The 22,903-nt window shown below is 39.1% G+C and overlaps 2 protein-coding genes across 5 annotated transcripts in view, besides 1 other annotated feature; one reads left to right on the forward strand and one right to left on the reverse strand.

The window, feature by feature from the left end:
- DYNLT2 (dynein light chain Tctex-type 2) overlaps nt 1-22,887 on the reverse strand; it is a 26,482-nt gene extending 3,595 nt beyond the window's left edge. Inside the window, exons 1-4 of one of the 4 annotated variants that reach the window (XM_006715554.4) lie at nt 22,654-22,887; nt 15,499-15,589; nt 14,395-14,489; nt 11,490-11,610 (exon numbers count right to left, since the gene is read on the reverse strand). In XM_006715554.4, the coding sequence (XP_006715617.1) occupies nt 11,500-11,610; nt 14,395-14,489; nt 15,499-15,589; nt 22,654-22,773 (417 nt within the window). In that variant the 5' untranslated portion in view covers nt 22,774-22,887 and the 3' untranslated portion in view covers nt 11,490-11,499. Of the gene's footprint in view, nt 1-11,423; nt 11,611-14,394; nt 14,554-15,382; nt 15,590-20,824 lie in introns of those variants that run through there. The other 3 variants (XM_011536093.4, NM_174910.3, NR_138070.2) reach the window with 3 other exon arrangements.
- Nucleotides 19,874-20,074: a silencer, noted in NCBI's record as "peak6328 fragment used in MPRA reporter construct". NCBI's record gives its function as "represses an SCP1 promoter by STARR-seq MPRAs in K562 erythroleukemia cells {active_cell/tissue: K562}" and the evidence as "EXISTENCE:reporter gene assay evidence [ECO:0000049][PMID:32103011]".
- The window catches only part of ERMARD (ER membrane associated RNA degradation), a 30,295-nt gene continuing 30,012 nt past the window's right edge, over nt 22,621-22,903 (forward strand). The window contains exon 1 of the mRNA XM_047419020.1: nt 22,621-22,878. The gene's annotated coding sequence lies outside the window, so the exon portion shown is untranslated. The remainder of the gene's footprint in view (nt 22,879-22,903) is intronic.

A 22,903-nucleotide genomic window follows, 5' to 3' on the forward strand; every position in this document is an offset into this window, starting at 1 on the left:
AGTATGCCATAATTTAAAACATGAGAAACATGGAGAATCAGTCTTTATTCTTTGTGAAAAACAAAAGAAAACAAAACAACTTACCAATAGTAGTGTGAACTGTTTGCCTCTTCTCATACTATTAATCTTCTGTCTTGAAAAATTGTTATTCTGCATTCTAAGTTTAGATTAGCTTCCAACATTTTATCTTTGCATTTTCAATCTTGTGAACTATTCTCAGGAATTCTTTAATACAAAGTGTATCAGCAACACTTCCTGTGGACCTCTTCACCCTTTTGTCACAGCCACTTTAATCTCTTAACATTAATCAATTCATAAAATGATGAAACCAGAATTTACTGGCTGAATAAGGTTTTTATTTAGTCTCTTTGTAATTATCATTTTCTTTCAACAAGACAACCAACTTCAACACTTCACCCGAATGCTAGCCAGACTGATTGGGAAAAAATTTAAATTTATTACAGTCTTCAGTCAAAAGCAGGAAAAAGTCTTTATATCGGCCATAATTTGCATTCTCTTTCTAGTGCAATTTAAACCAAAAGATCCTGAAGCAACTTACCTTGTTTTTTCTACTTACTGAACTTTTTCTCTATGGCTTCTATGGTGCCTTTTGTGTAGGCCGAGGTCTCATCCTATCTTTGCTTTGCTTTTGTCATTTTCAAATTCCCTAATCACATCTAATTTCATTTCTGCATTATTATTTTTTTATTTGCTGTACTTTCATCTTTCTTGGCCAATTCCCTTTTAATGATCCATTTTTGTAAAATATCATGTTAGTTTATCACTGGGAATCAAGGAAGCTATACAACTACATGCTTTGCTGCTTGTAAACTGAAAAACTGAGTAACAGTTGTGCAGTGACCAATAACTGACAGACTCTGAAAGAAGGATTGTGATATCTGCTATGGACTGAATGTTTGTGCCTTACCTGCAAATTCATAAATTGAAGCCCTAATCCCCAGTGTGATGGTATTTGGAAGTGAGAACTTTGGGAGGTGATTAGATTTACATGAGGTCACGAGAGCAGAGTCCCCATGATGGGGATTAATATCCTTTCAAAAAGAAGAAGAGATACAAGATTCATATTCCTTCTCTTTCTCTCTCCCCTGCCCCCACCCCCACCAAGGAAAGACCAGGTAAGGACATAACCAGGAAGAGGGCCCTCACCAAGAACCACCATGTTGGCACCCTGATCTCAGACTTTCAGCCTCTAGAACCTCAATAAAAAATATTTGTTTAAGCAACCCAGTCTAAGGCATTTAATTATATTAGCCCAAGCTAAGACAGTGCCCATCTGTTATTTACATAGTGATCTGTGAACTGAAGAGCTAGCTGTGAATTTTCTTCTTTATGCAATTCCTCACATAAAGTTAATATGCAATCATAATTGAAATGTGAACCACCTTGTTGGGGAACTGGTATTATTTAACTAAACCACAGTAAATGAAATTTGCTTGAATATTCTGAAAGTGAAAATTGCACAGTGCATACTAGAACTGTGCAAAGTGAGGACTGCCTTGTTTTGGATGGCTCATCTATGTGGATGTTGAAGTCCCAAGGAAAGATGACAGGAGTTGGGTGGGGATGAAGATTATATAATCCAGTAGCTCAAGTCTTCAAGTGATGGGGAGGAATAAGCCAGGAACTACAGGCAGCAGAAATCAACAGGTAAAAGATTATATATTCAGATAGCATACATTTTCAGGAGCCAGAATTTTTTTTAAGGTCAAAGGGGTTACCTACGCTAACTCCTGGCTGTAAGTCATCAAAGATTGAGAGGAAAAAAACAGCCTTCATTTGAGAGGGCTGCAGTGGCACTCCTCTTCAGGGAAAAGTCAGATTGCTTTTAAGGAAAGGAACTCAAAATGCATGTGGAAGAGAGGTTGGGAATATAGAGGAGCCTGATGAACCATATAAAGAAAGTTCCGGCCGGGCGCGGTGGCTCACGCCTGTAATCCCAGCACTTTGGGAGGCCGAGGCGGGCGGATGGATCACGAAGTCAGGAGATCGAGACCATCCTGGCTAACACAGTGAAACCCCATCTCTACTAAAAATACAAAAAATTAGCCGGGCATGGTGGCAGGCGCCTGTAGTCCCAGCTACTCAGGAGGCTGAGGCATGAGAATGGTGTGAACCTGGGAGGTGGAGCTTGCAGTGAGCCGATGGACTGAAGGAAATGTTTATGTGATATTTTATGTGAGTGATCTTCACAGTGGGCAAGTGGTTCAAAAGTTATGTATCTGAATACTTAGCATGATAGTCTAGTGGGGTCAGGTGATACTACCCTTTTATAGGATCGTGGTGAAGTACAGCCTAGGTGGAGGAGCCTAGGGGAAAGAGGCTGATGATAGCAGGGCAGAGGTTTTCTTGGTACAGGTCTCAACATAGCTTATTGGGGAAGAAAAGGAGGAAAGGAGTTTTATGTTAGAGGAAAGGCAATAATAGAAGATATTATGGAGGACAAAGGGGGATATCTCACCCAATCTGGAGAAGCAGTGAGAGAGACGTTGGATTGACAGTGAGAAGTGTTGCTAGGATCTGAGATCTTTATAATGCACCTGGAATCCACTTAACCTCAGAAAATAGCAGAGTATTACATTATGGACAATCTAGAACCTTAAGAGTAGGCAGAAGAATTGGTATTCACTCATAAGGCAATCAAGAGCCACTGAGGGGTTTTGAGGCAAAGACTGATACAAAGTTATGCTTCCAAGATGAAAACTCCATCAGTTTTATGTGTAAGGTATGGAGATGAGACGTAAGGCAAAGAAAATAGGCCCATTGGGTTTTCTCCCTGCCTCATTCTTGGAAGCATTTACTAGAGGTGCAGTTGCTGAATACCAGCCCCCCAATACAAAAGAAGTTCAGTGAAGTCAGGGGACTTGTCTGTTTTTTTCACCACAATACAATCTGCATCTCCAACAGTGCCTAGAACATAGTAGATGCATGATTCTGTTGAACAAAAAAATAATAAATGAATCAATGAAATAAAGGGGCTATTGAAACAGATTTGAGAGAAGTGAGTACCTAGGCTACAGATATAACAAATGGAAAATTGAAGCTATTTTGAGCCACTTCAAAAAATTAAAATCTATAGAATTTAACAACTAAGTATATATGGGGTTTTACAGAAGGGAAAGAGAAAGAACAGAACTAAAGGTAATTTGGATGTGTCAGACCTAATAAGAATAAGTGTGCATAAGTGCTTGATTACATATTATTTACTTTAATTCACATGCAAACCTTAGGAAAAAGGTATAATTCTCATTTTACAAACAAGTCTATCTATGAGGCAGTCAACTCAATTACCAGGTAGTATATTTTGCAATTAATTCATCCTGACAAGTTCATCAGGAAGGCAAATTGCATGATATGACATATTTCATAGGTTATTACTAATTTTTTCTGTGGTCAAGATTAGCATCAATAGCTCCTTTTAAAGAGGTTTTTGGCTACAACTATCATGTATATTCTCTGTATAATGGTGGAGTGATTTTTTTTTCACCAAGCATATTTTTCTTTTATTATGAAAGAACAGTTGTTCTGATATATAGTTGCCAGAAGGAAACTCTCAGGGAATTTTAGTTTACTAATAGAATTGGTAGAAATTGTAAGAAAATGATCAAAATATCTTTTTATTTCTTCTTAAAAAAATGGGATACATGTGCAGAATGTCCAGATTTGTTACATAGGTATACATGTGCCGTGGTGGTTTGCTGCATCTGTTGACCCATCCTCTAAGTTCCCTCCCCTCCACTCTCACCCCCAACAGGCCCTGGTGTGTGTTGTTCCCCTCTCTTGTGTCCATGTGTTCTCAATGTTCAACTCCCACTTATGAGTGAGAACATGTGATGTTTTTTTCTCCTGTGTTAGTTTGCTGAGGATGATAGCTTCCAGCTTCATCCATGTCCCTGCAAAGGACATGATCTCATTCCTTTTTATGGCTGCATAGTATACCATGGTGTATATGTACCACATTTTCTTTATCCAGTCTATCATTGATGGGCATTTAGGTTAGTTCCATGTCTTTGCTATTGTGAATAGTGCTGAAATAAACATACATGTGCATGTGTCTTCATAGTAGAATGATTTATATTCCTTTGGGTATATACCCAGTAATGGAATTGCTGGGTCAAATGGTATTTCTGGTTCTAGATCCTTGAGGAATTGCCATACTGTCTTCCACAATGGTTGAACTAATTTACATTCTCACCAACAGTGTAAAAGTGTTCCTATTTCTCTACAGCCTCGCCAGCATCCATTGTTTTCGGACTTTTTAATAATCACCATTCTGACTGGTGTGAGATGGTATCTCATTGTGGTTTTGATTTGCATTTCTTTGATGATCAGTGATGTTGAGCTTTTTTTCCATATGTTTGTTGGCCACATAAATGTCTTCTTTTGAGAAATGTCTGTTCATATCCTTTGCCCACTTTTTGATGGGGTTGTTTTTTTTTTCTTGTAAATATGTTTAAGTACCTTGCAAATTATGGATATTAGACTTTTGTCAGATGGGTAGATCGCAAAAATTTTCTCCCATTCTGTAGGTTGCCAGTTCACTCTGATGATAGTTTCTTTTGCTGTACAGAAGCTCTTTAGTTTAATTACATTCCATTTGTCAATTTTGGCTTTTGTTGCAATTGCTTTTGGCATTTTTGTCATGAAGTCTTTGCCCATGCCTGTGTCCTGAATGGTATTGCCTAGGTTTTCTTCTAGAGTTTTTATGGTTTTGGGTTTTACATTTAAGTCTTTAATCCATCTTAAGTTACTTCTTGTATAAGGTGTAAGGAAGGGGTCCAGTTTCAGTTTTCTGCATATGGCTAGCCAGTTTTCCCAGCACCATTTACTGAATAGGAGATCCTTTTCCCATTGCTTATTTTTGTCAGGTTTGTCGAAGGTCAGATGGCTGTAGATGTGTGGTGTTATTTCTGAGGTCTCTGTTCTGCTCCATTGGTCTATATGTCTGTTTTGGTACCAGTACCATGCTGTTTTGGTTACTGTAGCCTTGTAGTATAGTTTGAAGTCATGTAGCATGATGCCTCCAGCTTTGTTCTTTTTGCTTAGGATTGTCTTGGCTATATAGGGTCTTCTTTGATTCTATATGAAATTTAAAATAGTTTTTTCTAATTCTGTGAAAAATATCAATGGTAGTTTCATGGGAATAACATTGAATCTATAAATTACTTTGGGCAGTGTGGCCATTTTCACAATGGTGATTCTTCCTATCCCTGAGGATGGAATGTTTTCCCCTTTGTTTATGTCCTCTCTTATTTCCTTGAGCAGTGGTTTGTAGTTCTTGAAGAGGTGCTTCACATCCCTTGTTATCTCTATTCCTAGGTATTTTATTCTCTTTGTAGTGAGTGTGAATGGGAGTTTATTCATGATTTGGCTCTCTGCTTACCTATTGTTGGTGTAAAGGAAAGCTTGTGATTTTTGCACATTGATTTTGTATCCTGAGACTTTGCTGTAGTTGCTTATCAGTTCCAGAAGTTTTGGGGCTGAGATGATGTGGTTTTCTAAATATAAAATCATGTCATCTGCAAACAGAGACAACTTGACTTCCTCTGCCCCTATTTGAATACCCTTTATTTCTTTCTCTTGCCTGATTGCCCTGGCCAGAACTTCCAATATTATGTTGAATAGAAGTGGTGAGAGAGGGCATCCTTGTCTTGTACTGGTTTTCCAAGGGAATGCTTCCAGCTTTTGCCCATTCAATATGATATTGGCTGTGGTTTTGTCATAAATAGCTCTTATTATTTTGAGATCTGTTCCATCAATACCTAGTTTATTGAGAGTTTTTTAACATGAAGGGATGTTGAAGTTTGTCAGCCCTATCAATCTGCATCTATTGAGATAATCATGTGGTTTTTGTCTTTGGTTCTGTTTATGAGATGGATTACATTTATTGATTTGCATATGTTGAACCAGCCTTGCATCCCAGGGATGAAGCCGACTTGATCGTGGTAGATAAGTTTTTTGATGTGCTGCTGGATTCGGTTGGCCAGTATTTTATTGAGAATTTTCACATTGATGTTCATCAGGGATATTGGCCTGAAGTTTTCTTTTTTTTTGTTGTGTCTCTTCCAGGTTTTGGTATCAGGGCGATGCTGGCTTCATAAAATGAGTTAGGGAGGATTCCCTCCTTTTCAATTGTTTGGAATAGTTTCAGAAGGAATGGTACTAGCTCCTCTTTGTATTTCTGGTAGAATTCAGCTGTGAATCCTTCTTGCCCTGGGCTTTTTTTGGTTGGTAGGCTATTAATTACTGCCTCAGTTTCAGAGCTTCTTATTGGTCTATTCAGGGATTCAACTTCTTCCTGGTTTGGTCTTGGTAGGGTGTATGCATCCAGGAATTTATCCATTTCTTCTAGATTTTCTAGTTTATTTGCATAGAGGTGTTTGTAGTATTCTCTAATGGTAATTTGTATTTCTGTGGGGTCAGTGGTGATATCCCCTTTATCATTTTTTATTGTGTCTATTTGATTCTTCTCTCTTCTTATTAATCTAGCTAGTGGTCTTTCTATTTAGTTAATTTTTTTTCAAAAAACCAGCTCCTGGATTCATGGATTTTTTGGAGGGTTTATTGTGTCTCTGTCTCCTTCAATTCTTCTCTGATGTTAGTTATTTTTTGTCTTCTGCTAGCTTTTGGATTAGTTTGCTCTTGCCTCTGTAGCTCTTTTAATTGTGATGTTAGGGTGTTGATTTGAGATCTTTCTAGCTTTCTGATGCAGGCATTTAGTGCTGTAAATTTCCCTCTTAACACTGCTTTAGCTGTGTCCCAGAGATTCTGGTATATTACCTTTGTTCTCATTGGTTTCAAATAACTTCTTGATTTTTGCCTTAGTTTCATTATTTACCCAGGAGTCATTCAGGAGCAGGTTGTTCAACTTCCATGAAATTGTGTGGTACTGAGTGAGCTTCTTAATCCTGAGTTCTAATTTGATTGCACTGTCGTCTGAAAGACTGTTTGTTATGATTTCAGTTCTTTTGCATTTGCTGAGGAGTGCTTTACTTCCAATTATATGGTTGATTTTAGCATAAGTGCCATATGGCACTGGAAAGAATGTATATTCTGTTGATTTGGAGTAGAAAGGTCTGTAGACGTCTACTAGGTCCACTTGATCCAGAGCTGAGTTCCAAGTCCTGAATATCCTTGTTAATTTTCTGTCTCATTGATCTGTCTAATACTGACAGTGGGGTGTTAAGGTCTCTCACTATCACTGTGTGGGAGTCTAAGTCTCTTTGTAGGTCTCTAAGCATATGTTTTATGAATTTGAGTGCTCCAGTATTGGGTACATATATATTCAGAATAGTTAGCTCTTCTTGTTGAATTGTTCCCTTTACCATTACATAGTGCCCTTCTTTTTTGATCTTTGTTGGTTTAAAGTCTGTTTTGACAGAGACTAGGATTGCAACCCCTGTTTTGTTGTTGTTGTTGTTGTTTCGTTTTTTTGTTTGTTTTTTTTTTTGCTTTCCATTTGCTTGGTAAATTTTCCTCCTTCCCTTTATTTTGAGCCTGTGTGTCTTTGCATGTAAGATGGGTCTCCTGAATACAGTACACTGACAGGTGTTGACTCGTTATCCAATTTGCCTGTCTGTGTCTTTTAATTGGTGGCATTCAGCCCATTTACATTTAAGGTTAGTATTGTTATATGTGAATTTGATCCTGTCATAATGCTATTTGATTATTTTGCACACTAGTTGATCCAGTTTCTTCATAGTGTCATTGGTCTTTATATTTTGGTGTGTTTTTGCAGTGGCTGCTACCAGTTTTTCCTTTCCATATTTAGTGCTTCTTTCAGGAGCTGTTGCAGAGCAGGCCTGGTGGTAACAAAATCCCTCAGCATTTGCTTGTCTGGAAAGGATTTTATTTCTCCTTCGCTTATGAAGCTTAGTTTGGCTGGATATGAAATTCTGGGTTGAAAATTATTTTCTTTAAGAATGTTGAATATTGACCCTCAATCTCTTCTGGCTTATAGAGTTTCTGTGAGATGTCGGCTGTTAGTCTGATGGGCTTCCCTTTGTATGTGACCTGGCCTTTCTCTCTGGCTGCCCTTAACAGGTTTTCCTTCATTTTAACTTCAGAGAATCTGGCAATTATGTGTCTTGGGGTTGATCTTCTCATGGAGTATCTTAATGGTGTTGTCTGTATTTTCTGAATTTACATGTTGGCCTGTCTTCCTAGGTTGGGGAAGTTTTCCTAGATAATATCCTGAAGTGTGTTTTCTAGCTTGTTTCCATTCTCCCCATCTCCTTCTGCTACTCCAATCAATCGTAGGTTTGGCCTTTTTATGAAGTCCCATATTTCTTGGAGGCTTTGTTCATTCCTTTTCATTCTTTTTTCTCTATTCTTGTCTGTATATCTTATTTCAGTAAGGTGGTCTTCAAACTCTGATATCCTTTCTTCCACTTGGTCGATTCTGCTGTTGATACTTGTGTATGCTTCACGAAGTTCTCATGCTGTGTTTTTCAGCTCCATCAGGTTGGTTATGTTCTTCTCTAAGCTGGTTATTCTAGTTAGCAATTGCTCTAACTTTTTATGAAGGTTCTTAGCTTCTTTCCATTGGGTTAGAACATGCTCCATTAGTTGATCATAATTTTTTTATTACACATCTTCTGAAGTCTACTTCTGTCAATTCATCCCTCTGATCCTCCGTCCAGTTCTGTGCCCTTGATGGAGAGACACTGTGATCATGTGGAGGAAAAGAGGCACTCTGGCCTTTTGGGTTTTCAGCATTTTTTTCATTGATTCTTTCTTATCTTCATGAGTTTGTCTAGTTTTGGTCTTTGAGGCTGCTGACCCTTAGATGGGGTTTTTGTGGGGGCCTTTTTTGTTGTTGTTGTTGTCATTTTCTGCTTCTTTGTTTTTCTTTAAATAGGCCCCTTTTCTGTAGGGCTGCTGCAGTTTGCTGGGGTGAATGGCCCTACTCATCTGATTTGCTCTTATACCTGGAGATGTCACTCAAGGAAGCTGGAAAGCAGCAAAGATGGGTGCCTGCTCCTTTTTCTGGGACCTCTGACCTTGAGGGGCACCAGCCTGATGCCAGTAGGATCACTCCTGTATAGGGTATCTGACAACCCCTGTTGGAGGGTCTCACCCAGTTGGGTGACACAGGGAGCAGGACCCATCTAATGAAGCAATTTGTCCCTTAGTAGAGAGGGTATGTTTCACTGGGGGAAACCCACTTGTCTGGGCTGCCTGGATTACTCAGAACTACCAGGAGGAGAGGCTAAGCCTGCTGGTCCACAGAGACTGCAGCCACCCCTCCCACTAGGGTCTCAGGCCCAGGGAGATCCAAATTCTGTCCCTGAGCCTCTGGCTGGAGTTATTGGAGATCCTGCAGGAAAGCCACTGAGGAAGGATGGGTCAGAGTTAGACCTGAAGAGGCACTCTGGCCGCAGACTGCCACAGCTGGTGTGTTGGGCTGTGGGGACAAGTCATGGGACCAAGCTGTCCAGCCTGCCTGGCTCCAGCAGGGGAAAAGCGCAGCCTGGAACTATAGAAATGGGTGCTGCCCTTCCCCTACCCAGGGGGCTTAGCATGTTAGGCAGTTGCAAGTCCCAGTGCTGGCTGCTGCCCCTCCCACAAGGAGTTCAAATGGCTTAGACATCAGGCAGCTGCAGCCAGTGCTGGCCACCCTTCCTCATGGGAATTGGGTAAGCTTAAGCAGATTCCAGCTGAGAGGCTGTACGAATCTGCGCGTTCCAGGGTTGTGATGCTAGCCCCAGTGGCGTGGGTTTGCAAGTGGAATCTTCTGATCTGTGGGTTGCACAGTTCCATGGAAAAACAACAGTTTCCCTGGCTGGGTAGCACTCTTACTCACCACCTCCCCTGGCTTGGGGGAAGGGGGTTCCCCTTCCCCATGTGGCTCTCAGGTGGGCTGCCACACCACACTGCTCTTCCTTCTCTGTGTGGGTAATGCCAGCCTTCTAGTCAATTTTGATGAGAGAACCTGGATACCTTGGTTGCTGGTGAAGGATTCACATGCTTATGCTTTTTTTCCCATAGGAGCCTCCTACATGGTGCTGCTTCTAGTCGGCCGTCTTGGCCCCACCCCTAGTTTTGCATGGCTGGGAGGCCTCAGGAAACTTAAAATCATGGCGCAAGGCAAAGGGAAAGCAACGCACCTTCTTCACAAGGCAGCAGGAGGGAGCTGGAGTGATTTTCTAAGAATAATTCTGGCCAAACTTTCATGCACTCCCGCAGCCAAACTCCATTTGGATCTATTCAGGCAGGAATCATATTTCAGCTCCTTAACTCTCATAAGTGGAAACTGACACCAACTCATTATAAAACCTAAGTGGAAAAAAAAACCCTTCTCTGCCATTTTTATCTCCTTGTTTATAGATAATTCAACTAATAGGTATTTTTACTTGTCAATATTGACATGGTTGTTTTCAGTTCTGGTTGTAATGATGAAAATCATACTGATTATCACAGGTATTGCTTGCCTCCCACAAGTGCACACCCTGCCTCCCTGCTAGAAGAGTCCCAATTTGTACACTGGATCCACAATTTTCTCCTTTTTTTTTTTTTTTTTTTTAAGAGATGGAGTCTTGCCATGTTGCTCAGGCTGGTCTCAAATTCCTGGGCTAGAGCAATCCTCCCACCCTGGCCTTCCCATGTGCTGGGATTATAGGAGTGAGCCACTGTGGCTGGCAAATAGCCACACTTTTCACATGATCTCACGCTTCAGAAAAGGTAGGCTCCAGCCCCAATCTTAAGGAGGGAATTACAACTGGTCTAGTCATAGGAACATGATTAAATTCTGTCAAGCAAAATGAATGTACGTGGAAGTCTGTGGGGAGAATGGGAAGTTGGAGAGAACCTGGATCCTTGATCAAATCCCTGGGAAATAAAATTTTCCTCATTTCTTTAAACAATTAATATGAATTTTCAGTTCTTGCATCTGAAAAAAAGATCCTAGAAGGCTCACAGAGCCTAACAGAGCCTAATAGATTAGTAAATTGACTACACACTTGTAAGCAGTTTGGCTGGAGCGGGAGGATATTAGGGAATTATGAAATATAATAACATCTTTCTTTCAAACTTGGTAATTCCTTTCAAAACAATGAATACAAAGTATTAAAATATCATTAGAAATTTCCAAAATCTATCTTAACATCTACTGAATTTGATACTTTACAAGGTTGCATTTTAATTTCCTGTAGCAAATTATCATTTTCTTAAATCTTACAAAAATGATATTTTCCCTATACTCTACTATAAGAATTTGTATATACATACATATATACACACACAGACACACATGCATACACCTTTTATACTACTTTGGCATAATATTATGTTAGTTAATATAACAGTAAGTATAAATATAAAAATCTGGCTTCTACTTTGTTGTTAAAATAATACAATTGAAAGGCCTCAAATGAGAATAAGAATATAGCAAATCAGAAATATTATGAGGTTTACAAATATGTAAATTTCATTTATTTTTGAAAAGTTCGGAAGTAAACAATCCTTAGTACCTGTAATGAGCTATTCATAATAAAGGGCAAACACCAAGACCAGTGCCACGTAGGATTCTGCTTCGTGTTTAGCTGCGACCCAGCTGTCCCATGCAATGTCCCAGATCCATCTGCTGGCAATCTGTGAGAGAAATTTTGTAAAGACCAACTTTAGATTGAACATATTAAGAAGTAATTTTCAAATCTACACTAGTTTTTTAAAAATGAATGCATCAGTATCTCAGAAATTATTTTTAAGATGTAATTTGTCTGGTTTTCCCTTTCATAAAGAGCCTGGAGAATGACGCTGCCCCAGCCCATCCTTCTTCTTTACCGGAGGCTGGCCTTTCTCTAAACAGAGAGAGGCTCCCTTAGCTGTGTTTCCAGGGCCAGGAGCAGAAGGCCCCTGGGAATGGGGATGTAGTGGCTCTGCATACAGTATGACTCTGCCATGTAGTCCATGATAAGGAAGTCTTCCCACCCTTTAAAGATTTTCAGCCAAAGAGGTTTGTCAGGGCCTTGCCTTGAAATGAAGAAATGGCAGTAACTATACAAGTAGGCTGTTACGGACAATTCTAACTCCTTTTCTCTGTGTACAAACCCATATGTGATCTGATTCCAGCCCACTTCTTTGTGGAGGATCTAAAATGGCCCCAATTTTTTTTTTTTTTTGAGACATAGTTTCACTCTTATTTCCCAGGCTAGAGTGTAATGGCGTGATCTCGGTTCACTGCAACCTCCACCTCCTGAGTTCAAGTGATTCTCCTGCCTCAGCCTCCTGAGTAGCTGGGATTACAGGTGCCTGCCACCACATCCAGCTAATTTTTGTATTTTTAGTAGAGATGGGGTTTCACCATGTTGACCAAGCTGCTTGAACTCCTGACCTCAGCTGATCCACCCGCATCAGCCTCCCAAAGTGCTGGGATTACAGACATGAGCTACCACGTCTGGCCGAAAAAGGCCCAAATTCTTTATGGCTTCTCCTATTAGGAAGTTGACTTTATGTCCCCACCCTGTGAATAAGTCTTGGCCTTGTGACTTGCTATGAGTTGTAAAATATGACACTGTGAAACTTCCAAGCAAGGCCTTCAGAGGTCTTGTAGCTTCTGCTCTCACACTCGTGGAACACTATGCTGAGACCCCCATGTTATGAAAGCCCACTCAACCTATTGGAGGATGCTGGCTCACATGCAGGAGAACCCAGGTGCCCAGGCCACAGCTAGCCCACCAGTCAGACAAGTGACAGAAGCCATCTTGGACCTGCAGGCCCAGGTAAGTCATTAGAGGGCTACAAGTGCATCAGTGAGACCAGCAGAAAAGCCAAGTAGCTGACCCAGGCTGAGCTGACTCACAGAAAGTAAGCAAATACATGGCTGTTGTTATAAGATACTCAGTTCTGGGGTGGTTTGTTATACAATAATATAAGCTGAAACATTCCCCCACTGCACATCATGCCACTATCTACTAGCTACTAGTCCAGCTACACTTGTTACATATCAAGCACTCCAAGTCATCCCTGCCTCAGGATCTTTGCACTTGAAGTTTTCTCTGCTTGGAACATTCTCCCTTCTCTTTGGTACAGCTGGTTCCTTCTTATCTGAACATCAGAGGGTTCTCCCTTCTCTAAACAATCCCAAGTAGCCACTCTGCTACTCTGTCATATCCCTACCTTAATGTTCTCTTTGTAGCACTTATCATCTACAACGTCCCTATTTCTTAAGTCTGTATGTCATATGTGGTGCAGCTTCTCTTCTCCATGGGAGCCAGGACGGTTCTTTCTTGCTGACTGGCGGTTCTCTCGCCAGTACCCCTCTGCCAGTCCAGGTCCCCCTCCCCATGCTTCATCATGCAGTCCACTCCTCTATGGAACCTCTACAGATTCTTCCAAACACAGCTTTTTCTCTCTTTTCTCTCCAACTCCCACATATTCCTTACCAACTCCTTACATAATTACACAGCCTAGTGATATTATCTCTTTATTAATAAATAATGTTTATAATTACCTTGCTGTTTATTGAGGGCTCTGTGCTGGTGATTATGTTAAGGATTTTAATACAGATAATTTCATTTAATCTTCACAACAGCTCTAGGAAGCCAGTTTTATCATCACCATTTTATAGATGAAGAAACTGTGCCAAGGCCACAGCCAGCAAGTGTGGCAGAGGCAATCTGACTCCAAAACCCAGGCTGTTTACATTATCCCTATCATTTTATTTCCCTGAATTCTAAATTGTGCTGCTTTATCTCCTTAAGTAGAGTAAAATCTCCTTGAGAATCATGGTCCGTGTTTTATCATTCCTTGATTTTCCTTAGTACCTAACACCTATTAGTGCCCAAAATAAATTTACTGGTTAACTTAAATGACATTAAACTGTCAAAATTGATATGATCAAGGAACAGAATAGCAGTGCAATTTAATAAATTAGTAGTACCAAATTGCTACTTCTAGGTTTGTACTTTTCTTTCTTTTTTTTTGAGTCTGTTGCCCAGGCTGGAGTGCAGTGGAGCGAACTCGGGCCACTGCAACCTCTGCTTCCCAGTCTCAAGTGAGTCTCCTGCCTTAGCCTCCCGAGTAGCTGGGAATACAGGCACCCACCACCATGCCCAGCTAATTTTTGTATTTTTAGTAGAGACGGGGTTTCACCATGTTAGCCAGGCTGGTCTCAAACTCCTGACCTCAGGTGATCCACCTGCCTCAGCCTCCCAAACTACTGGGATTACAGGCATGAGCCAACGAACCCAGCTGGTTTGTACTTTTCAAATAATTTACAGTGAAATAAATATACTTAACAACATGATACTTTCCTTCAAAAAGTACCTCAGAATCTATGGCATGCCCTTGAGTCATCACAATAAAAATCAAATCACTAGGGAGGAGATGCCTTATAGTTCTAATTGCTAGATCCTGTATCAATGGGGTACTTACATTTATTGCTTGGCCAGTCTTTTGAATAAATAATACTTTTATAATGAACTTATAACGGTGGTACCCAAATTCTTTGACTGCTAACAGTATGCGGTCTGCCAATTCAAGTGACAAGTGAGAGAATACTTTATCATCATATTTGACATCTTTAAGACTTTCCTTTAAGAAAATTTAAGAAAAATACTTTTATTTTCAAACCAAATATTTTCTATATAAAAATTCAAGTAGAAAACATGTCTAAATAATATATATATAACTGTTTTAAAATAAATATATTCCTAACTAAATAATATTAAATAAATTTTATGCTTACCTATTTCAGTAACAATTTTGAGGAATATTTATTGGGGTTTTCAAATTATATTCAATTACTTTTCATTAGCGATACAAGCTGTAAGTTGTAATTTACTAGACTACTCTGCCAAACAGTTAATAGACACAAGGAGATTTTCTAAAGAAGACTTCTAGAAGGTAAAGGAAATTCTTAGGTAAAGGAAAGAAACCTTTTTAAATTTATACATTTATTAAAATTCAGATTTTGGTTTTCTTATACTGAAGATTACTTGGACTCAGAACCTGTACCAAGTCACTGCCCTGCTCAGTGGGCTCATATTAAAACTACTTCTTTCCAGCCCTCCCCTCTAGTCTCTCACTCCACTAATTTTTCTCTGGCCTCCAGGAAAATGAAATCAAAGATTTCTAACCATGTTTATTAATAAATTAATGTATAGCTTGAAGGAAATGGACATGGCTTGTGGACTATAAAGCATTACTCTTACAAACCAGGAGCAGAACTGGACACCTAGCAGACAGACTACACATCTCTGATTAACTAACTTGTTGTGCCTGCACCAATGACACAATACCTTCTGGTTCTAGTGACAATTGTATGAGCCAATTCCTGGAATAAATTTCTTCGTATATATAATTTCTGTTTCTCTGTAGAACCCTCATACAATACTGCTATCATATATATTTATCAACCTACTGTTAGTATCTGCTGGACTTTAGTTTCTACTGAATGAGCTTGGAATTTCTTCAATGGCTCCATTCTATATGAATTAGCAAACTTTAATTTTGCCAGGGCACTCTTCCATTCTTTACCTATATCAGCAATTGAGTCATCAAAAGGAGGCTCCACATACTGAACATTGTGAATTGACTCTCTCAGTCTTTCTCTTAAAATCTGTGTATACTGGAGGAGAAAGAGAGAGGGGAAGAGAGAAAGGCAGAAAGATTACTTTTTAAACTGTAAATGAGTTTTCAGATTAAATAAGCCTGTACAGTGGGACAGGGCTCACACAAAGCTTGGAAATTTGTTAAACAGATTTCTACAATAATGTGGTTGCTAAATCCTAGATTCACTCCTGGCTATCAATTTGGCAAAAAAAAATAGGAATACTATTTATTCTTTTATCTATACTCACAAACATATACATACAAATTGCATGCATATATTTAGAATATCCATGGATGATCCAAAGGAACTAGAAACAAGAGTGGCCTCCAGGGAGGGCAACTGAGTGGCTATGGGATGGAGATATAGGGAAAACCTTTCTTCCTCCCTACCCTGAGATTATGAAAATATTATCCTTCATTGTCTTAAAATTTTATTTTACTTCATTTACTTATTTTTAAATAATACAATTATTTAGATAGCACATTCGTAAGTCTTAAGGTGAAAAGACACCAAAAGAGCATTGATTTGATATATATATCAGTTCATGCTTTTGACATGAAACATCCATTCTGTGACATCCAATATGCATTAATGAAATATTTGCTTAGTGCCCAATATGTCCCAGATAAATGCTCTAACCTCTTAAGTTAAAGCAGTAAGCTTCATTTTATTAATAGCCAGGAATTTCTTTTTCTTGCCTAATTGCTTGGCTAGAACTTCCAGCTCTATGTTGAAAAGAAGTGGCAAAAGTGGACATCCTTGCTTTGTTACTAATATTACAGGAAAAGCTTTCAGTGTTTCCCCATCGAGTATGATGTTTGCTGTGAAGTTTTTTTTGTTTGTTTTTTTTTTTGAGACAGTCTTGCTCAGTCGCCCAGGCTGGAGTGCAGTGGCGCGATCTTGGCTCACTGCAACCTCTGCCTCCTAGGTTGAAGTTATTCTTCTGCCTCAGCCTCCTGAGTAGCTGGGACTACAGGTGCATGCCACCACTCCCAACTAATTTTTTTGTTGTTGTTGTATTTTTAGTAGAGACGGGGTTTCACCATGTTAGCCAGTATGGTCTTGATCTCCTGACCTCGTGATCCACCTGCCTTGGCCTCCCAAAATGCTAGGATTACAGACATGAGCCACTGCACCCAGCATTTGCTGTGCAGTTTTCATATAGAGCTTTTATTAGGTTGAAGTAGTTTCCTCCTATTTCTAGTTTTTGGGGTGTTTTTATAATAAAAGAGTGTTGAATTTGACATATAGTTTTCTTCATCAATTGAGATTTATCATGTGGTTTATTTCATTTAGTTAATGTGGTGTATTACCTTGATCGATTTTCATATGTTGGACCATCCTTGCATTCCAGGAACAAATTTCACTTGGCCTCGGTGTCAAATCCTTTAAATAAAATGCTGAATTCAGTTTGCTAGTATTTCGTTTAGAATTTTTGCATCAGTGTTAATACATGATACAGGTCTGTAATTTGCTTTTTTTGTAGCATCTTTGTCTGCCTTTGGTATTAGGGTAATGCTGACTTCACAGAATGAGTTAGACAGTATTCTCTCTGCTTTTATCTTCTGAAAGAGATTGTAATAATTGATATAACTTTTTCCTTAAATGCTTGGTAGAATTCACCAAGGAAATCACCTGAACCTGGTGATTTCTGCTTTGGAAGGCTGTTATTGATTCAAGTTTTAAAAACAGATATATGCTTATTCAGATTATCTATTTCTTTTTGTATGACTTTTGGGAAATTGCATCTTTCAAGGAACTGGTCCATTTCATCTAGGTTATCAAATTTCTGGGCACAGAATTGTTCATAATATTCTTTCATTATATTTATAGTGTTCATGTAATTTCTAGCAATATCCTGACTTGCATTTCTGCTATTAGTAATGTGTGTCCTCTCTTTCTTAGCCTGCATAGAGGCTTATAGATTTTATTGATCTTTTCAAAGAAAAAGCTTTTGGTTTTGTTGGTACCTGATTTCAATTTCATCAATTTCTGCTATAATTTTTATTATTTCTTTTCTTCTTGGATTTAATTTGTTCTTCTTTTTCTAGTTTCTTTGAGGCTTATTTTAGCTCTTTCTTCTTTTCTAATATATGCACACATTCAATACTATACATTTCCTTCCAACCCATTTTTGCTGCACTCTACAAATTTTGGTATGTTTTCATTTTTATTTAGCTCAAAATATTTTTTAAATTTGAGATTTCTTCTTTTGTAACAGTGTTTTTTGATGTGTAGCATTTCTAGTTCTTTCTTAGGATTTCCATTTCTATGCTTACATTGCTCATCCGTTCTTGCATGCTATTTTGTCAACTACAGCCCTTTAACATATTAATCATAGTTACTTAAATTGTGATAATTCCAACATCCCTGCCATGTCTGGTTCTGCTGCTCACTCTGTGTGTTTGTTGTTGTTTTTAGTATGCCTAATTTTTTTCCTGATAGCCAGACATGATTCACCAGGTAAAGAAACTGCTGTTAACAAGGCCTCTGGCAATGTGCTGGTAATGTATTAACGGAGAGGAAGCATTCTGTAGTTGTATGACTAGGTATTTTAGTGAACCTGTGCTTCTGGACTGTGAACTTCACATATGTTTCTGAGTTTTTTGTTTTTTTCCCTACTTGCTTAAGTCACACAGGATGGCTAAGGAGGGCTGGAGTGAGGTCACAGAGCAAACTGCTGCTTGTTAATCTACTTTTGGGGGCAGCAGTTTGTCCTGTGACCTCACTTTTTTCAGTTTGTTCAGCTTTTTACTTGTTAGGACATAGTAGGGACTTTAAGGAAGCTGGAAGTCTTACCTTTGCTTTTTGAACGATATTTTAGCTGAGTATAGAATTCTAGGTTGTTAGTCATTTTCTTTCAATCCTTAAAGATGATGCTTCGATGTCTTCTGTCTTGCATTGTTTCTGAGAAGTATGCTGTCATTTTGTCTGTTTCTATGTGTGTAACGTTCCTTTGTTCTAGTTGCCTTTAAATTTTTAAGTCACTGGTTTCAAGCAATTTTATTATTCTATGTCTTGGCATAATTTTCTTCATGTGTCTTGTGCTTGGAGTTCACTGAGCCTCTTAGATTTGTGGGTTTATAGTTTTCAACAGATTTGAAAATTTCTCATTCCTTATTTCTTCCAGTACTTTTTGTCTGTCCTCTCTCACCTCTTTGGGGACTCAAATTATAAGAACGTTAGGCAACTTTAAGTTCTGTCAAAGCTCATTGACATCGTGTAATATTTTTTCAGCATCCCCCCCAATTTCCACATCTCTAAATGTCCTTTCTTCTGCACTGTTGAATCTGCTGTTAATACCATTTAGTGTATTTTCATCCCTGACATAGTATTTTTCATCTACAGAAGTTCAATTTGAATTTAACATGCTCAGTCTTTCTCTACACTCTTAAATATATGGAATGTAATTATAATAACTTCATATGATTAAATTTGACGAAAACTAATAACTCTCTTAACTACTTTAATGTCTGTTTATACTAATTCTATTTTTGTGTAATTTCTGGGCTGTTTTTACTGCTTCTTCAATTTTGAACTTTATTTTCGTGCTTTTCTGTAGGTCTATTAATATTTAAAGACCAGACAGTGTGAATTTTACCTTCTTATAGGCTGGATATTTTTGTATTCCTAAGACTCTTGAGCTTTCTTCTAGAACAAAGACATTTGGAAACAGTTTAATCCTCTTTAGCCTTGCTTCTCAACCTTGATAAGCCAGATCAGAGAACTTGTTCTCTATTTTTTCCCACTACTGAGGCAATACACGTCTTAGCACGCTAACCAAAGCCCTGTATTTTTCATGATTTTCCACTTTTTCTGGTGGGAACATGTCCAAGGATTTTTTTTCTGTTCCTTTTGGGTGATTCTTTCTCCACCTCCACTCTCCACCTTTGGTGAGAAGCTTCCTCACCAGATGCACTGCTGCACTCAGCTGAATATTCTGGGAAACCCTCTGTAGGTCTTTGGGGCGGTTTGTGCATCCCTGTCTTAATACTCTGCTCTCCAGTCTCATGCTACCTTGGCTTCCCAGGCTCCTAACTCCTTTTGAAATAAAGGAGGCCTTTCCTTGTGTTGTAGCCTGGAAACTCTCACCAGGCAATTAAGGTGGGGGCAATATTGGGGTTCACCTTACCTATTTCTCATCTCTTGGAAATCACTCTCGTCCTGCCTGACACCTAAATCAATGGAAACAATTGTTCCATACATTTTTGTGTGTTACTTTAAGTAGTTTCTGATAAGAATTACTCCATATTGGCTGCGAGTAGAAGTCCCTCACATAAATAAATCTCTTCTTGTGATCATCTGTCAGGCTTCTGTGTCTCTTAACTGCAAAAGCAGCATTATTAGCTCCCTAAACCTCTTAAAAACAAAATCATTTTGTTCTTGTTTATTAAGAGAATGCTTCTCTAAGGCAGTGATTGGGACCTTCCTTTCCTCCACAATATACTCAAGGGATGCAACTACATAGTATCATTAACAGCGGCTTTCAACTGCAATGATTCTTAAGGAAATGGGGCATTCGTGTGTGGCCTGAAAATAACCATTAATGCTTCTAATATGCTGAAAATTTACATCTGTACCATTTCTCCTTTGTGTATAATATTGGCTGACTTGCTATACTTATTAAGAGTATTTTATTCCTTTTATTAAGAATCTTTATAATCTTTTTTAAATTGGGAATAGGCTTTAAATATGATCAACTTTTTGGCATCTAATAATACCTGAGTTTCTACTGATATAGCATTTCCTTATATTGAGCCTACATATAGCCCTAAAATAAAATGAGCTTGGGCAGGAGATATTACTTTTATTTCTAAATGCCACATGCTAGTGTTTAAGATTTTTTTTTTCTTTTCTGAGACAAGAGTCTCACTCTGTTGCCCAGGCTGGAGTGCAGTGGCATGATCTCGGCTCACTGCAACTTCCTCCTCCCGGGTTCAAGCAATTCTCGTGCCTCAGCCTCCCTGAGTAGCTGGGATTACAGGTGCCTACCACCAAGCCCGGCTAATTTTTGTATTTTTAGTAGAGACGGGGTTTTGGCATGTTGGCCAGGCTGGTTTTGAACTCCTGACCTCAGGTGATCCATCCGCCTTGGCCTCCCAAAGTGGGGATTACATGCATGGGCCACTGCACCCGGCTGTATTTAAGAATTTCAATGCATGTGCACAAGTGAGAACAATCACGTTTTCCAATTTTAGTAATCTACTTCGCATTTTGTTACCTTTGATCGCAACAACAGGAACTCATTCGTGTTAAGCCAAAGTATAATTTATTGGAAAGATACAGTTTACATAACAGCAGAGAAGGCTGATGAACCAGATTCAGAAAGACACAGGGAACACTTTAGCTTCTCATCTTCAATGTGAATAAACCTCAATCATTTTCTTTGCATTATTTCAAAGAATTCATCTAATTAGCTTAGTTTGGGTCTCATCCTTATTAAAAAGTTAAGGGAAGTAGCTGACAATCTCACCAAAGCTCTATACAATTGCAGATGAGTTAATTCTCTAAAAGTTAACTGAGGTGCTACCACTAGAAAAAAAGAAATGGAGGCAAGACAGATAAAATCAAGAGATGGTCATATTGATGAAACAGTATGTCTTAAATTTTCCTATGCTCCAAAATAGGGAAATTAACAGCTACCTTAAATTAGAAATAACTAAGTGAACAGTTTCCTCAGGTACATTTAGTGAGCATTTGTAGAGTCCTTTCTCAATTTCTTCCCAATTATTGTTCTATTCAAATTTCTCACCTCTAAAAGAATCAACTTTAAAGATAGCTATAATTGATCACATCCATATCAAATACTAATAATTACTTTGGTCCATGTCCCCTCACTCCCAGATTTTAACCTATATACCAGGTGCACCTATGTGTCTCCTCATTTTGAGTTCAGGCTCATTGAATTTTAAAGACCACTTCAGACCTCAGATAGGCAGTAAGTTTATAAAAGCCACCCTTGTCTGCCTCAATATATAGAAATTTTTCTTTACTGTTGGTGACCTGTTACTCAGACTCATTGCCAAGAAATACAGCATAGTGTTTGGGAGTGTGAAGTTTTAAGTCCAACTGATTTAGGTTTCTAGCCCTGCTCTGCTCTTTTTCTTAGCTGTGTAAACTTGGCCTGTTTGCTTTTCCTCCTTTATTTAGTTCGTTCTTTCCTCTGTAAAATGTAGACACCAGGGAAACAAGAACCTGAAATTTCGCCATTATTTTGAGAATTCTCTTTTTAAGAGTAATCTTAAAATGTTTTAGGGTCTTCAAAAAATTGTTTTGCCTGTCATCTCTATCTTCATCCTATTATAGGTCCACGAAGTAAGTACGAAGAGAAACCAGTATAGGCCAATTGGACCGAGTACTAGCATACAGGTTCTGGTCCCAGCTCTATCATTACAGCTTTGTATCCTTGGGCAAACTAATTTTCTGTTAAAGTATCAATAAAATATAGAGTCTTTAATACATTAACGGTTTTCAAAGCCTAATCATATAGAAATACCTGTTATACCACCAATAAAACTGAATAATGACCCTTTCCATCAATATCAGTAAGTTTTGGACAGGGTATTTTCAACTTAAGTTTTTTTCTCCTGTACATTCTTCAAATATCCAGACTGCTGATGTTTTAAAAACCCAAAACATGGCACTATTCTGCCTGGTTTATCAAATTATTTTTTTAATACAACACACTCATTTTTCGCTAGCAAAACTGCTTATAATGGCACTAAATACACTAACATACTGTGTTTTAGTACAAAGCAATAATACTCAGAGTACTCTCAGGAAATCCGCAAGCTGAGTAAATTTGAAAAGAAGATCTTGTAACCACCCTTCCAATCGACTTATGTAGGGTTCTATGGCCCTAATTAAAAAACAAGAAAACTTTAGCACTCAAGTCCAAAGGGGACTGCCCAACTCAGTCTCAGGCTTCAATTTCGCATCTGGGGAAAAAAGAAACACAAAAGGGAGATGCTGCCTCCTTGGCTCTGGGGGTGGTGACGGGAGCGGGGCCCACTGGGGAGCGATTTCACTTAAACGGTCGGACATAGCCGTCTCGGGCCCCTAGCAGTCTCCGCACTCACTGCCTCCTTCTCGAACATGCTAGGCCTCCTTTCTTTCCTAGGCGTCACCGGAGCCTGCTGAGGGGTCTGGTTCGGGGTCTGGATGGGGCTCGACTTCACGCCTCGGCCTCGCTTCTCCATCTCGCTCTGTTCTCCAAGACGCCCACCGCCTCCCCTTCACCGCCGGCGGTCAAACGCCCTAGCCAGTCCCGCGAGGGCGGAAGTCTCCCACCTGCGCCTCGTACGGTAGGAAGTGCCCGCCAGGGCTCCA

This window comes from Homo sapiens, chromosome 6, assembly GCF_000001405.40.
Source record: "Homo sapiens chromosome 6, GRCh38.p14 Primary Assembly".
In the NCBI taxonomy this organism is placed as follows: Eukaryota; Metazoa; Chordata; class Mammalia; order Primates; family Hominidae; genus Homo; species Homo sapiens.